Raw genomic sequence first — 16,022 nt, 5'->3', positions numbered from 1 at the left:
GTTTGACACCATAGAAAAAAGTAAAAAATTTGAGAAATCCAGAGGCAGGTGATAATGGAGGTAAAAAAGCACAATGCTGGTGAGCATAACTAATTCCCAGGGATTAAGCCAAGCCCCCGATTTCATGGATAAAGATTATGCTACTATCCATGCCATAAATGAGGTCCAGTGAACTCCAGAGCTACTGACAGCAGGGAAGAAAGGGTACACATGTGTAAGAGCAGATATATCCACCCCCTTAGGCCTCCCTGTTAACATTGGTGAAAGCTGCCTCGACACCCATGGGAGGCACCCTGTTACAATCAGTGGGACTTGGGGATACAAGGATTGAAGTGGGAAAAAGAATATTCTTTCTCCTATAGCTCAACACACCCTGGGAAATTGCTAGGAAGAGAAAGGAGCCAGGGACTCCTGCTCCTCTATCTCTTTCAAGATAAGTAACCATTCATTTTTAGTCTAGACCCATTTTGAATGCATCCTGAACCCTTGGAACTCCTTTGAAAAAATGCTAACTTTTCATTTTTTCTCCTCCGTTTGCTGTTTAGAGATAGGTAATCACATCTCCATGTTTTGGGACATTCCTCTTCAATGCATCCTCCAAGTTTGGAAGAGTTAATTTCCCAAACATTAAACTGGACAGCTTAGGATTGGACCCAGGAGAAAAGAACCCAGAAGTCTCATATGCTGTCAAAAGGGTAAAAGTTCTTTCTTTCTTTCTTTCTTTCTTTCTTTCTTTCTTTCTTTCTTTCTTTCTTTCTTTCTTTCTTTCTTTCTTTTCTTTTTCTTTCTTTCTTTTATTTTTTCCTGTTGGGCTTTTGGCCTCCCTCTACCTATGCAAACTGGTGAAAACCCTGGATTTTTTTTGAGCTGTCTCTTCCACATTTCCCTTGGTTCATTTTAATACGTGCTTTTTAGTAACACAGTTTGATTCTCCTCACCTTCAGGCTATCAAACTTCAAACAGTCACACTACCATAGGCTGAGACAATGGCCCCTTTCACTGGAGACACTTAGGCCTCTAAGGAATAACTGACTGCCATTTATTTCACAACAGTGCCCCCTGTCATCAGGAAGCACTTAAAAGTGGTTTTTGTCCTCATCTTTATCCTTATTCTAACAGCAGTTAGATATACTTATTGACAGTGGAAAATAACAGAGTTAGAAAACAGCCAAGTGTCTTGGACAAAACCCCATCTTCAAGCCTAAAACAGCCTGAAGGCTGAAAAATCGAGTGCTTGTGCTAGATGAAGCCTGCCTTTTTCCAACAGATTCTCTTTGAATAATTTCCATCTGAAAACTGGGGGAAGGGAGTGGAGGCTTGGAAGGCCATGGAAACTTTACCCCTTGTGCAAGGAGGAGGAGCCTGGCTTCATCAGTTCCTGTGTGATGGTCTGGTGTTCAGCAATCCGTGAAGTGGGGGCCTGGTAAACACGACTCCCACTCACTTCGTTGAGAGTTTTTCTTTTTTTCTTTTCTTTTACCCAATCAGCTCTACTCTTTATCCTTCAGGAGTGTCCCTGAGCCTAATCTTTCCTAGTCATGTGACAAGAACCCAATTTTGCTGAAGGAGAACGTTCTGCAACATGAGGAATTAGAACGTTTGTTTAAGATAAGCTGAATTTTATGCATGTGGGTTTCATTCTGGCCTCTGTTATTTGCCTTAACATTGATTTAACTGTCTTTATGCCAGCACCACACTATTTTGATTACTGTAACTTGGCAATATGTTTTGAAATAAAAAATATTTATCTAAGTATATTCTTTTTTTCCAAAGTTGTTTTGCTACTTTTTTTGTTTTGTTTGTTTTTGAGTGTTTACATAAATTATAGTGCAATATTTGAGGGCTTACTCCTGTGATCCCAATACATTGGGAAGCCAAGGAAGGTGGATTGCAGGACCCCAGTAGTTTGACACCAGCCTGGGCAATATGGTGAAACCCTGTATCTACAAAAAATACAAGAACTTGCTGAGCATGGTGGCATGCACCTGCAGTCTCAGCTACTTCTGGAGCTGAGGTGGGAGGATCAATTGAGCTTGATGTGTCAAGGCTATGGTGAGCCATGATTATAGCATTGCACTCCAGCCTGGGTGACACAGCTAAATATTGACTCAAACATTTTAGAATATTTTACTACTTCTGCAAAACAAAAACAAAAACAACAACAACAAAAAAAACTATTGGCTCTTTGAAAGAGTTCTCATTGACCTGTAGATCATTTCTAATACCATTAACTGAGGCACCACTCTTTTCATGAGGGCATTAGCTGCAGGGAGTCTGTCCCTTGCAGACCCCTGACCGAGCGACAGATGAATAAAGTACCCTGTCACACAGATATTCTGCTTTTCAAGTCCAGCTGAGGGTCTGGGGCCACTAACAGTCTCCAAAGGGAGTCCTGTAAAGAGTGGCAGCTGTGCCCTGAGCAACTTGCACTCCAGGCATTTATTTAGTATAGAATTATTAACAGAAGCTTTGAGTAGACACACTTGTGGATAATTAACCTGGTTAAGAGAATAGTTCTGTGAATAACGAAACCTCAGGCACCACGGTCTAAAGTAAATGCCAGTGGGGGCAATTTCCCTGGTTGACATTCCCCAGAAAGGACCATCTGGCTTAAAGGTTAGTTAATGGAGGTGGGGTAAAAAAACTTAATTGGGGAAGCCTCTATTGTCCTTAGCATTTACCCTATGACCAAATGCTTTAAGGTTAAAACCGACTACCTTCAGCCCCTTGAATTATTACAAGCTATGCAACCTTTCAGCCTTCCAAAAGTCTGTGACTATTCCCTATAACTTTCCCTAATTATTTTCTTTTAATATTTCTGCCATCCTCCTGAGTGAATCTCAAAATCCTCCTCTCTGTTCTTTTCTGCATCAGGTTTTTGATTGCAGAGCACAGATATGTGCAGTCATAGGTTTGTCAGGCGAGGTGGTCACTGATCTTATTCCAGCTTTGCATCATATAAATAGCAAATAACACAAAACAATCATGAGTATAATTAACAACACTTCTTCCAGTCAGAGTGACTTGCAGAGTTACTTGCCATCTGAGTTCACTCTGTGCTATTAATGAGGAACCTCACTGGGGGAATGTTGATTTCCTTTTATTTAAGCAGTGATGTTGTTAGAAGCTGGAAAGGGGGTGTTAGTCTAAGTACTAGGGTAGAACAAAGGAGGTTACAAGATGGGCTTAATAGAGCTTGGCAGATACAGGTAGTAGACAAAGTGAGAGAATAAAAAAGAAGCAGGATTTGCATAGCCTTCTGAGTCATCTTTCTCTGATAAAGCTGCATCATCTTGCAGGGTCTCTCCTAGGCTGGCTCGAGTTTTTTCTTCTTTTAATCCTTTGATGAGGATGCAGTGTCTTGGCTGGTGCTTGTGTATTGGAAATTGTAGAGATTGTGTCTGTGCTAAGATATCTCTCATAATCTTTGTTAAAGAGCAGGTTAGTGCTTTAAGAAAAACTTGTGCTTTTAATGTCTTGTTTACAGAAAAACTGGATGACACATCTTTTTTAAATTAATTTATTTTTATTATTGTACTTTAAGTTTTAGGGTACATGTGCACAATGTGCCGGTTAGTTACATATGTATACATGTGCCATGCTGGTGTGCTGCACCCACTAACTCATCATCTAGCATTAGGCATATCTCCCAATGCTATCCCTCCCGCCTCCCCCCACCCCACAACAGGCCCCAGAGTGTGATGTTCCCCTTCCTGTGTCCATGTACTCTCATTGTTCAATTCCCACCTATGAGTGAGAATATGCGGTGTTTGGTTTTTTGTTCTTGCGATAGTTTACTGAGAATGATGATTTCCAATTTCATCCATGTCCCTACAAAGGACATGAACTCATCATTTTTTATGGCTGCATAGTATTCCATGGTGTGTATGTGCCACATTTTCTTAATCCAGTCTATGATTGTTGGATGACACATCTTTAACTTTAGTCAATATGTTTACTCAGAGAATTTTGTTAACAATTAACATTTTAAAACTTGCTTAGACTTTCAAAACAAAATTATACAACATGTCCTGAATAGTTTTCTTTTTATAATGTTTTTATGACTTCCACAGACAATTTTCAACATGCCTTAACTTTATTTCTTTCATAACCTTCCTTAATAAAGGTGCAGTCTAATGGTTATAACTTTCTTAACATTTCTTTCTCTTTATGTCTTTTCTTTGTCTTACTTTTTGTGACTTTGACCTCTGGTTTTTCTAGTCTTTCTTTTTTTTCCCCTCTATTTCTCTCTTTAACCTTTCTGTTTCTCTCTGATCTTGGACAGCAATTAAATGAGTGTTGGTATCAATAGATACTTGTACATATCTAAGTTTTCCAAATTCAAGTATGGGTGTAACATCTGTTTGCTATAGCAGGTTAAGTTCTGTTTCCCTAGGGTTAACACCTGTTGAAGGAGGGGACTTACCTGTGAGCTGGCAATCTGGGCATTGTAGGATAATTTATTTAGCCAGTCTCTGAGTAAGTTGATAAGTTTCTTCAATTTGGATGGAAAAATTCATGCGATTGGGTGGCTTGGTCTAGCAGTGATGGCTTAACCTGTAGGTTTGCTTGATCACTGCTCATAAGCCAATGGGCTAGGAAGTAAGCTGTGGGCTCAAATATGTGTAATAAAAATGGGACTTGTATGTTGATCTAGCCAATTGCTGAAGTTGGAGAAAGAGTAAACCGTCCTGGCTCCAGAATAGAGTTAAGGCTGTAAAACTTCTTTAATAAATAAACAGAGTAACCTTAGCTTTCTGTTTGCTAGTAAACTCAGATTGCATGATTGAATTATATGGTCTCTACCAGACTGCTGCTTTTCCATGTTTGCGGACCCATCAGTAAACCGTGTTAAAGCATTAGTTACAGGGGAGTAAACTCTTTTTGTAGGCATTATTACCGGAGTATGAGATAAGAAATGAAAGACTTTATCAGCAGGGAGGATGTGCTTTATTTGCTCTGTGTAATGAGATAAAACTATTTGTGGGTGTATTGACAAAGATAATGAAGCTTTGAATTGCTCTTTACTTAAAGGAATCATGATGATATCGGTTATGTCGCAACTGATTTTTAACGTTTGTGACCTGAATAGATGACTTTAGTAATTAACTGAGTATAAGGAGACAGTGTTTTAGTCCCGGTATGGGGGCAAAAAACCCATTCTAGGAAACATAGCCTGGGAGTCATTTGTCCTAGTAACCCTGTAGGGGAGTGTTAGGTGGAAAAAATAAATAGCTGATTGGAATACGGTGGATCAATGCGATCTAGCTTCCTTTGAAAGACGGCTTGCTCAATTTCCTTGATTTCCCTTTTTGCTGCAAGGGTTAAATATCTGGGAGAATTGAGGGCTGGGTTGCCCTTTAAGATAGAGAACAGGTTTTGTAGTTTATTGGTAGGAATTCCAACAATGGGAGAAATCCAGGTAACATTGTCCAATAATTTCTGCTAATCATTTAATGTGTGTAAGTTGTTAGTACTTAGGTTAAACTTTTGAGGTCTTACTGACCAGGAGATTAACAGATATCCAAGATATTTTCAAGGAGGGAACATGGGTACTTTTTCAGGTGCAGTGACTAAACTTTTCAGTTGTGTATTCCTTATGACAGAGGTAAACAAATTTAAAGGTATTGGCTCCGTTGGGGCTGCTAGTAAAATATCATCCATAAAATGAATAATCATGTAATCAGGAATTTTTTTTCTACTAGTTAAAAAACAAAGTTTGCTTTTAACTACTTCTAAACTAACTCATGGGTTGTTTGTAATTTCTCAACCTTTAAACGTTACTGTTTTACTTGAATTTGGTGAGCTTCATCAGGGTGGAAGAGAGATGACAACAGTGGAGGTTATTAGAAAGAGGTTTTCTAATTCTTACATTTTACTTAAATTTTAGCTGAGAACTATAATCTGTGATGTTGCTTGTAAACAAGCAGCACATGAGATTTTGTCTTGGATAGCCTGTGGAGTTAGAGAAAGGAGCAGGCAGGTCCCGGCGCTGTGACTGCTTTACATTTATAAAGTCGCCATTTTTGCCTGTGCCATTTTTTGCCTGTGCTGGCTCCCTTCCCCAGCTGTGGGACACATGTGGCCTGGGTGGAATTTGTCACGTGTGCTTCTGTTCCACTCGCAGCAGGCTAGCTCTGGCTGCAGCTTGGCTCTTTGTTGCTTCTGTCACAGTGTGGGTGGAGTTTTTCTTTCTACTTACTGCTTCCTTGTCCTGGCCCTGTGGCTCTGGCTTTTAGTGATTATTCTTAACCCTTTATGTACCTGATTACTTGGCTGATTTTGCATTACCGGGCAGGCTAATAACTCTCCTTTTATTGCTGCCAGCTGAAGACAGGGACTAATAACTGGAGGGTATTCCTGGTCCTTTTTCTTACGTATTGAAGAAAAAGGCTCAGGTAAAATATCTGTTTCTTCTTTGTTATTTTGGCTCAGTAATATTAGGGCTGACGGAAGAGGAGGTGATAAGGCAGGTGACATTTCCTCCTCGTTCCCCTTTATAGTCTGTTCTGTGTATAATGGAGACAGGGCTGCTGTAATGAAAGCCCATAACAGCTGGGACCTGTTGCCTTTGTGTCTGATGTTGAAGATTTATCCCCACTTGTTCTCAGAGTACTACATCCAGTGTTCCTTTTTCTGGGAACCATGATCTTGGGATTGTGTCCAGAATTGATTCCTTCCAGTGGGTTATTGGTCTTGCTGTCTTCAAGAAGAAGATGCAGACCTTCACAGTGAGTGTTATAGCTCCTAAAGGTAGTGCGAACCCAAAGAGCGAGAAGCAGCAAGATTTATTGCAAAGAGTGAAAGAGCAGAGCTTCCACAGCATGGAAGGGAACCAAAGCAGGTTGCTGCTGCTGGCTCGGGTGGCCTGCTTTTATTCTCTTATCTGGTGTCACCCACATCCTTCTGAGTGGTCCATTTCACAGAGTGCTGATTGGTCTGTTTTACGGAGTGCTGATTGATCCATTTTTATCCAGTGCTGATTGGTGTGTTTACAAACCTTTAGCTAGACACAGAGCGTGATTGGTGCATTTACAATCCTTTAGCTAGACAGAAAAGTTCGCCAAGTCTCCTACCCAATTAGCTAGACACAGAGCACTAATTGGTGCATTTACAAACCTTTAGCTAGACACAGAGTGCTGATTGGTGCATTTACAATCCTTTATCTAAACAAAGTAGTTCTCCAAGTCCCCATCTGACTGAGAAGCCCAGCCAGCTTCACCTCTCAATCCCTTCTCTAAACAGGACATCTCAACTGCTGTTGGGAATTGGCCAATGACCTCTCTAGCTACTTCCTGCTAGATAGGGGCAAAGAATTATGCTGCAGTTGTAGTGTCCTCCAGAGGGGAACTCTTTAGGCCACGGAAAGGGCCAGGAGGTTGGTCCAGGGGTCCTCAGTTGAAGCTGTTAGTTGAGCTCATTTGGGGTTCCATTTGTAAGACCATCTCTAGGTTGATAGCCTCAATTCTAGAAGAAAGAAATTTGACAAGAAGGTTAACAATACAGGGCCCGAAGGCAAGTAATGGCAAGATGGCTGCCATGGGAGCTAGAAAGGGGAGGAGCCATGTTGCCCAACTCCAGAGGTTGGTATAAGGGTTTGAAAGATGTCTGATTTCAGAAGCCTTTTCCTGTAAACACCAGGCAGCATCTCGTACTATGCCTCACTGGTTAGTGTAAAAACAACTCTCTTCCCCTAAGAAGGTGCAGAGTCCTCCTTTCTCAGCAGTGAGGTGGTCTAGTCCTCTGCAGTTTTGGAGTGTCACTGCTGGTAAAGAATCTAGCTGGGATTGTAGAGTAAGGATAGATTTTGTTATTTCTCACAAACTATCTGAGAAATCCTTTGAGAGTGTGTGATGGTAAGAAAATGAAGTAGATAAACCTGCTATTCTGGTTCTTGTAGCAGTGGCCATTTCTAACCCTATAAGTAGGGGTATTAGTTGTATGGCCCTGCAATGATGGACTTGAGCTTTGAGGGGCACTGATAGGGCCTGATTTCCTGGGGCAATGTTAATGTTGGGACTTAGAAAGACTAAGGTGCAGGTGCCTGTCCAGTTAGTGGGGAGGCAGATATAGTTTGACATTCCACAGGAGAAGAATATGCCTTGGCTGGGTAGATATTTAGAAATTTACCCTGGCTTTTAAAGGAATAGGGTATACTGTTTTTTCTTTACTATTTCCATATCTCTTTCATTCTCTTTGACTTCTCCTTCATCTCTCTCTTTCTGTCTTTCTGACTCCCTCTTTGTCTGTCTGTCTCTTCCTCTCTCTCTCTCCCTCTGACTTTCTGTCTCTTCCTCTTTTTCCTTTCTGCTGGTCTTTCCCTGCCTCTGCCAGCTGCTTATGCTACTGTTCTCCCCTCTCCTTCCCCTTTTGATGGCTTTGGCAGTGTAAGAGTGCCATGCCACCTCCGTGGGTTTTTGCACTGTGTGCAATAACTCCATGATTTCCTTGTGGCATTTAATGGGGGTTTCCCCAGAGGTTAGGAACTCCCTTTCTTTCCATATTGCAGCATGGGCATGTAGGATCAGATGAGCATACTTGTTATCTGTATACACATTTATTCTTTTTCCCTTTCCCAGTTCTAAGGCTTGGGTAAGTGCCAGTATTTCTGCTTACTGGGCTCTGGTCTCTAGGGGAAAACATTTACTTTTAAGTATAGTTACATCACTAACTATGGCATAACCTGCCCTTTGTATCCCATTCTTCACAAATGAACTTCCATCAGTATATAGGCTAAGGTCAGGATTACCTAAGGGGACTTCTAAGAGATTATCTTGTGCGGCATAAGTCTGGACGATAATTTGTTGGCAGTCATGCTTGATTGGATCCCCATCCTCTGGGAGAAAAGCGGCAGGGTTGAGGGCCATGCATGTACATATTTGAAGCACCAGTGCCTCAAGGAGTAGCACCTGGTATCTAAGAAAGTGGTTGTCTGATAGCCATAAACTTCCTTTGGCACCTAGTATGCCATTTACATCATGAGTAGTCCAGACAGTGAGATCCTTTCCTTGTATTATTTTGATAGCCTCTGACACTAAGACAGCCACTGCTACAGCTACCCATAAACAGTGAGGCCAGCCTTTTGCTACTACATCCATTTCCTTACTTAGGTATGCCACTGGTTGGGGGATTGTTCCACAAATCTAAGTAAGAACTCCAAGAGCTATCCCTGCTCTCTTGGTGACATATAAAGAGAAGTTTTGTCCTGTGGGAAGGCTTAAACCGGGAGCCTGTACTAGCGCCTGCTTTAAGGTTTTAAAGGGTACTTTTGCCCCTAGTTCCCATTCTACTAGATGAGTATTTACCCTTTGGGTCTCCTTGATTACCGTACAGAGTGGTCTGGCCATCTTGCTGTATCTGGGGATCCATAGTCGGCAAAAGTGGGTGGTTCTAAGGAACCCCCGCAACTGTTTTAATGTCTTGGGGTGAGGATAAGCCAGTATTGGCTGTTTTCATTCCTTGCTGAGGGCCCTGGCCCCTCTGGCTAAGATTAGGCCTAAATATTTGACCTGCTGTAGGCAAAGTTTGGCCTTTGACCTAGACACCTTGTACCCTTGATTAGCTAGAAAGTTCAAGAGATTTAGACTAGCCTGCTGGCATGAGGCTTCCAAACCAGTAGCCAAAAGTAAATCATCCACAAGCTGAAGGACCAGAGTCCCTGGACATGACAAGTGGCCTAGATCTTGGGCCAGTGCCTGACCAAACAGATGAGGGCTATCCCTAAACACTTGAGGCAAGACGTTCCATGTAAGTTGGGACGTGTGATCTGTGGAATCCTCAAAGGCAAAGAGAAAGTGGGAGTCAGAGGCAGAGGAATACAGAAGAAGGCATCCTTGAGGTCCGGAGCTGTGAACCATTCTGCTTCCTCTGGTATTTGAGAGAGCAGGGTATAGGGGTTGGGTACAACTGGATATAGAGGAATTACTGCCTCACTGATGAGTCTAAGATCTTGCACTAGTCTCCACTGACTGGGTTTTGGTCTCCTAGAATTGGAGTGCTGCAGGGACTGCTGCATTTCCTTACTGAGGCTCAAGATTTTAAATGTTTAACAGTATCCTGTAATCCTCTATGAGCTTCAGGCCTTAAGGGAAATTGCCTTTGATAAGGAAAAGTGGTGGGATCTTTTAGCCTGATTTGGACTGGGCAGGCATTTTGCCCTTCCAAATTGTCCTTCCAATGCCCAAACTTCAGGGTTAATTCCCTCCTCAAGCCACAGACAACAAATGGGTAACTTGCTCCCCATATTCATGTAGATAATAGCTCCAGCTTTGACTAATATATCCCTCCCTAATAAGGGTGTGGGACTTTCAGGCATATTAAGAAAGGCATGTGAAAAGAGCAAAGTCTCCCAATTACAACTGAGGAGTTGGGAGAAATACCTGGTTACAGGCTGTCCCAGCATTCTTCAGATGGTAACGGATCTTGAGGACAGTCGTCCAGGACAGGAGATTAACACCGAGAAGACCGCATCAGTGTCCAGGAAGAAGCCAATTTCCTGGCCATTAATGGATAAGCATACCCATGGCTCAGTGAGGGTGACGACATGAGCTAGCACTTGCTCCAGGCACCCTCAGTCCTGTTGTTGGATCCTCTGGTTGGGGTCTTCTGGCCCAGAGAACCATTGTACTCTGGGGCAGTGCACCTTCCAGTGATTGCCTTGACATAGTGGACGTGGACAAGGGGGCAGCTTGTTTCTTATTGGATGATCTTTTTTTTTTTTTTTTTTTTTGAGACGGAGTCTCGCTCTGTCGCCCAGGCTGGAGTGCAGTGGCGGGATCTCGGCTCACTGCAAGCTCTGCCTCCCGGGTTCACGCCATTCTCCTGCCTCAGCCTCCCAAGTAGCTGGGACTACAGGCGCCCGCCACTACGCCCGGCTAATTTTTTGTATTTTTAGTAGAGACGGGGTTTCACCGTTTTAGCCGCGATGGTCTCGATCTCCTGACCTCGTGATCCGCCCGCCTCGGCCTCCCAAAGTGCTGGGATTACAGGCGTGAGCCACCGCGCCCGGCCTGGATGATCTTTTTTTTTAAGTGTCCTCGTAAACCACACTGATAACAAGCCCTACCGGGTGATTGCCCTGCTCCCTTTTCTGTCCTCTCTGAAACACCAAGGTTTGTTTGTCTGAGGGCCATGACTAAGGCAGCAGCATTTCTCTGATCTCACTTTTCCTTTTGGGCCTGTTCCTCTTGGTCCCTATTATAGAACACCAAGGTTGCCAGGTTTAGTAATGCCTCCAGATTTTGTTCAGGGCCCAGGGCTTGCTTTTGGAGTTTCTCCTGATGTCTGTGGCTGATTGGGTAATAAACTTATCTTTTAGAATCAATTGACCCTTGAGTGATTTGGGTGACAGGGCAGTATATTTTCTTAAGGCCTCCCTTAGCCACGCAAGGAAGGCAGAAGGATTTTCTTCCTTTCCCTGAGTTATGGTGGATATCACTGAATAATTCATGTGCTTTTTCCTAATTTTCCTTAGTCCTTCTAGAACACAGGTGAACAGATGTTTATGACTCTTGTCCCCATGATCTGAGTCAAGGTCCCAATAGGGATCCACACTGAGAATGGCTTGCCAACCCGTAGGGAATTTTTCCCTTTCTTCAGCTGTCATTCTATCATTTACTTGACTAAGATACAAGGTATCTCCAAACTCTCAGGCTAAAACTAAAGCCACATTCTTTTCATTAAAGGTCAGGGTTTGATCTACCAATAGCATGACATCTCTCCAAGTGAGATCGAGGCTTTGCCCTAGATCCTGTGGGACATCTATGTACCTATCAGGATCATCTGAAAGCTTTCCCAGGTCTACCTTGATCTGCTTTAAATCAGAGAGGGAGAAGGGGACATGTACCAAGGTTGGGCCAAATTCCCCTCTCCCTAGAGCTTGAAGGGGATGTAATCGATAGCCCGGGGAAGGGTTGTGTTCCTTTGGAGATTTCTTTGCTTGTTTCCTTCTGGGCAGGGGAGATTAGAGGAGGCTTATCATTAATAGGAAGGGGAGCTATAGGGAGGCTAGGATATGCAGGTAAGCTGAGTGTTCCTCCTGTGGGATGTAAATTGCAAGCTTTGCATAGTTTTGTATTCTCCTTCAATGAAAAGAAAACTTGGACTTAAGGTATTGCACTCCTTTTGCCTTACCTCTTACAGAAAAGGTCAAGCTACAGTATAGTATTGTAAGTTATATTTCTCTCAGGTGGCCATTTTTCCACATCAGAGAGAGAATATTGGGTCCTGGCCATAGTGCAGAAAAAAATAAGCCACCACTTTTTCAGGGTTTGTGGGTAAAATTGGTCCCAATGGCTTAGGATGCATTGCAAGAGTGGGTCTGTTAATGCCTGAGTGTTTCCCATCCGAAAGAGAAAACGGCCCACTCTTTTTGTTTGTTTGTTTCTCCACCTGCCCAAGAACCCACAATGGATCCTGGACCCTGCTGATCAGAATAGTTGTGCTCACTGATGCAGCAGCAGAAACACTGGTTTTCCTCCTGGACCACAACAAAACCTGCAGCCTTGCCTGTCCACCCAGACCACAAAGAGGACTGAGAAAAATCGGATTTAGTGGCCCTTACTGACATATTCTCAAAAACCTGTTAGAGTCCTAAGCATTATCCTGTTAATATTGGGAATTTATCCTTGTCCTATAAAGATGTTATGCCCCAAAAATGAAGTGGAGGGCCATACCCTGAGGGAGGGAAGAGATCACCAGAGTCAGAAGAGTGATGCCTTTTGTCCTCACTTATATGAATAAGAAAGATACAATTTCTGAGGCGTCCCATATCCTAGCTTCAGGAATAGGTTTTGTTAAGCCTGTTTGTCTGAGGAGGGATCCTAAAATTCCAGATAGTCCCCCTTAAAATGGGGCTTTGGGCAAAAATTCTCTCTTTCTGATTGCTGAGCCTGAGTGCCAGGAGAAGGGAATAGAGTCCTGGAGTTTATACCAGAAATAGTTCTTACAGGAGAAACTAGAAAAGCACCAGAGACAGGGAGTGGTTTTTAGAAGCAGGACTAGCCTCAGAGAACAGAAGCAAGAGGAAGATTGTCTGACAGGCTTTAGGACCCAGGAGGCAAGGCTCAGGATAGATAGGATAGATGGGAGAGTCTCGCTTGGGCGACATGACTAAGAGTTCCGCCATGGCTGCAGGGTCAACCAATTTGTTGTTGGGACCATGGAGCTGAATGGTTTTCCTATCAACCCTCATCTCAGCCCAGAAGTACAGGGAAAGTGGAAGCTAGTTCCATGCAAACCAACACTCCCAACTCCGAAGAGTTGGGGTTGCTAGAGAGCCCTTTCCCAGAAAGCCTGGCACCCATGTCTTTAGTTCAGTGACCAAGCTAGTTGCTTTTAACTGGCTGACAGGTGCCTGCTATTTAGCCCTAGAATTCTAAGGAAAAATAGGACAGAATAGCAAGCACAAGGGGTCGATGGTACTCACTGCTTGGCAATAGGCAATAGTCCCTTTGTGGTCACCAAAGTGTGTCTGGAATTGATTCCTTCCCATGGGTTCTTGGTCTCACTGACATCAAGAATGAAGCCATGGACTCTCACGGTGACTGTTACAGTTCTTAAAGACAGTGTGTCCAGAGTTTGTTCCTTCAGGTGTTCATGGTCTCGCTGACTTCAGGAGTGAAGTTGCAGACCCTCACAGTGAGTGTTACAGCTCTTAAAGTTGGTGTTTCTGGAGTTGTTTGTTCCTCTCAGTGGGTTCATGGTCTCGCTGACTTCGGGAGTGAAGCTGCAGAGCTTCACAGTGAGTGTTACAGCTCTTAAAGGTGGTGCATCCAGTGTTGTTTGTTCCTCCCGGTGGGTTTGTGGTCTTGCTGGTTTCAGGAGTGAAGCTGCAGGCCTTCATGGTGAGTGTTACAGCTCATAAAGGTAGTGTGGACCCAAAGACTGAGTAGCAGCAAGATTTATTGCAAAGAGCAAAAGAACAGGTCTTCCACAGTGTGGAAGGGGACCTGAGTGGGTTGCCACTGCTGGCTGAGGTGGCCTGCTTTTATTCCCTTATTTGTCCCCACCCTCATCCTGCCGATTGTTCCATTTTACAGAGTGCTGATCGGTCTGTTTTTAGCAAGTGCAGATTGGTGCATTTATAAACATTTAGCTAGACACAGAGCACCAATTGGTGCATTTACAATCCTTTAGCTAGACAGAAAAGCTCTCCAAGTCCCTTACCTGATTAGCTCTACACAGAGCACTGAGTGGTGCATTTACATTCATTTAGCTAGATAGAAAAGTTCTCCAAGTCCCCACCCCACCCAAAGCCCAGCCAGTTTTACCTCTCAGGATTACAACAGTTTGCATTATGTCCCCTAATTGAGCCTGCAAAACTGATGCTCCACTAGCCTTAAGCAACTGTTTCAACACTTTTATATACTGTTTCTGTTGAGCTGATAAATGTTGTCCCATGAGAATACCTCAGCTTGACCCAACTTCTCCCAGAACTTGGTAACCTCGAGTGGGCACCAATGACTTACTGATTAGTCACTGACTTCACCACGTGAATTCTTTTTCCACCTTTGCTTTCAGGGAGTCTGTCGCATTCCTCACTCTTCCTCTACAGCTTTCCTCATGAGGGTGGTTCTCACACTTCCTTCACAGACTGCCTCACACAATGGGCTCCAACTGCAGACCTGGCGATGGGTGAATAAACTACCTGACACACAGATATCCTGCTTTGCCAGCAGCAGAGGGTCCGAGGCCACTCCCAGACTCCACGGAGAGTCCTGTAAAGAATGGAAGCCCACCCTGAGCAACTCACCCTCCAGGCATTTATTTAGTATAGAATTAATCACAGAAGCTTTGAGTAAACACACTTGTGGATAATTAACATTGTTAAGAGAATAGTTCTGTGAATGATTAAACCTCAGTTACCACAGTCTAAAGTAAATACCATTGGGGGCAATTTCTCTGGTCGAACTCCCTGGAGAGAGCCATGTTAGTTAGTGGAGGTAGAGTAAACAGACTTAACTGGAGAAGCCTCAGTTGTCCCTAGTATTTACCCTATGACCTAATGCTTTAAGGTAAGAAGAGGTTGCCTTCAGCCTGTTCAATTATTACAAGCTATATAATAATTTTAGCCTTTTAGCCTGCCAAAAAGGTTTGTTACTATTCCTTATAACTTTTCCTAATACTTCCCTGTAATATTTCTGCCAGCGGCCTGAGTGAATCCAAACAATTAACATCTAAAGAAACTTGCCTATTCTAACTCTTGAAAAATAGTATGCTCAAGAATTTGTCTAGGTTTCATGTATATGCAGATATACTAGTTTTCTTTTGGTTTTTACTTCCAGTTATATTTTATTGTAGTCAGAAATAATATTTTTTGTGATTACCGTCAGTTTAAATATGCTAAAACTTGCATTCTAGCTTAAAAGTTTGCCTATCTAAGAAAACATGCCAAATGTATATAGAAATATGTACTATGCAATTGTTGGGTGAAACATTTTGTAGATTATCCCCAGGTCTTATTTTGCTCTTTAACTTTTATTTTTCTATATATTTTTCTTTTTCTTTTTTATTTTGTATTTACTTTCATTTTTTCTATGCATTTAAATTTGTTTCTATCTTTTATTTTTTATATTATTGTCTCTTCATTTCAAATGTTCTCCAATTTGTGTCTTGTTTGAAACATTTTATTTAATTTCTTTTTTATCTTATTTACTCCCATTCTTATCCCTTTATATTATTTTATTTTATTTCTCCATATTTATCTTTATTTTTACTTTTATTTTTTCTCCTGATTCATAAAGTTTTATTTTATTCTATTGCAAATTGTTTCATTTCTGTTTATTTCTCTTAATTTTATTGTATTTATTTTCTTCATCTTCATTTTATTTACTTTCCCTGATCTTAATTACATTTCTCTTTATTTTTCTCTATTTTGTTTCAGTTTATTTGTCTTTACTATTTTTAATTACTTTAAACTTATTTTTTAATTTTTTTCTCTTGATTTTACTTTTTTCACTTTATTTTTCTATATTTTGTATTGTAAATCAGAAGAGATAAGCTATTTTAGATTGACCCAGCCA

At 42.1% G+C, this 16,022-nt stretch overlaps 1 long non-coding RNA gene across 1 annotated transcript in view; it reads right to left on the bottom strand.

Moving 5' to 3' along the window:
• Window positions 1–14,629, bottom strand: part of TTTY4B (testis expressed transcript, Y-linked 4B) — a 36,824-nt gene extending 22,195 nt beyond the window's left edge. The window contains exon 1 of the long non-coding RNA NR_002178.1: window positions 14,469–14,629. This is a non-coding gene — a long non-coding RNA (testis expressed transcript, Y-linked 4B). The remainder of the gene's footprint in view (window positions 1–14,468) is intronic.
• Between the last annotated feature and the right edge of the window lie 1,393 nt (window positions 14,630–16,022).

The sequence above is a fragment of the Homo sapiens genome, chromosome Y (genome assembly GCF_000001405.40).
Source record: "Homo sapiens chromosome Y, GRCh38.p14 Primary Assembly".
In the NCBI taxonomy this organism is placed as follows: Eukaryota; Metazoa; Chordata; class Mammalia; order Primates; family Hominidae; genus Homo; species Homo sapiens.
Note: the sequence above shows the minus strand (reverse complement) of the source record. Positions and strands in the feature narration are given on the sequence as shown.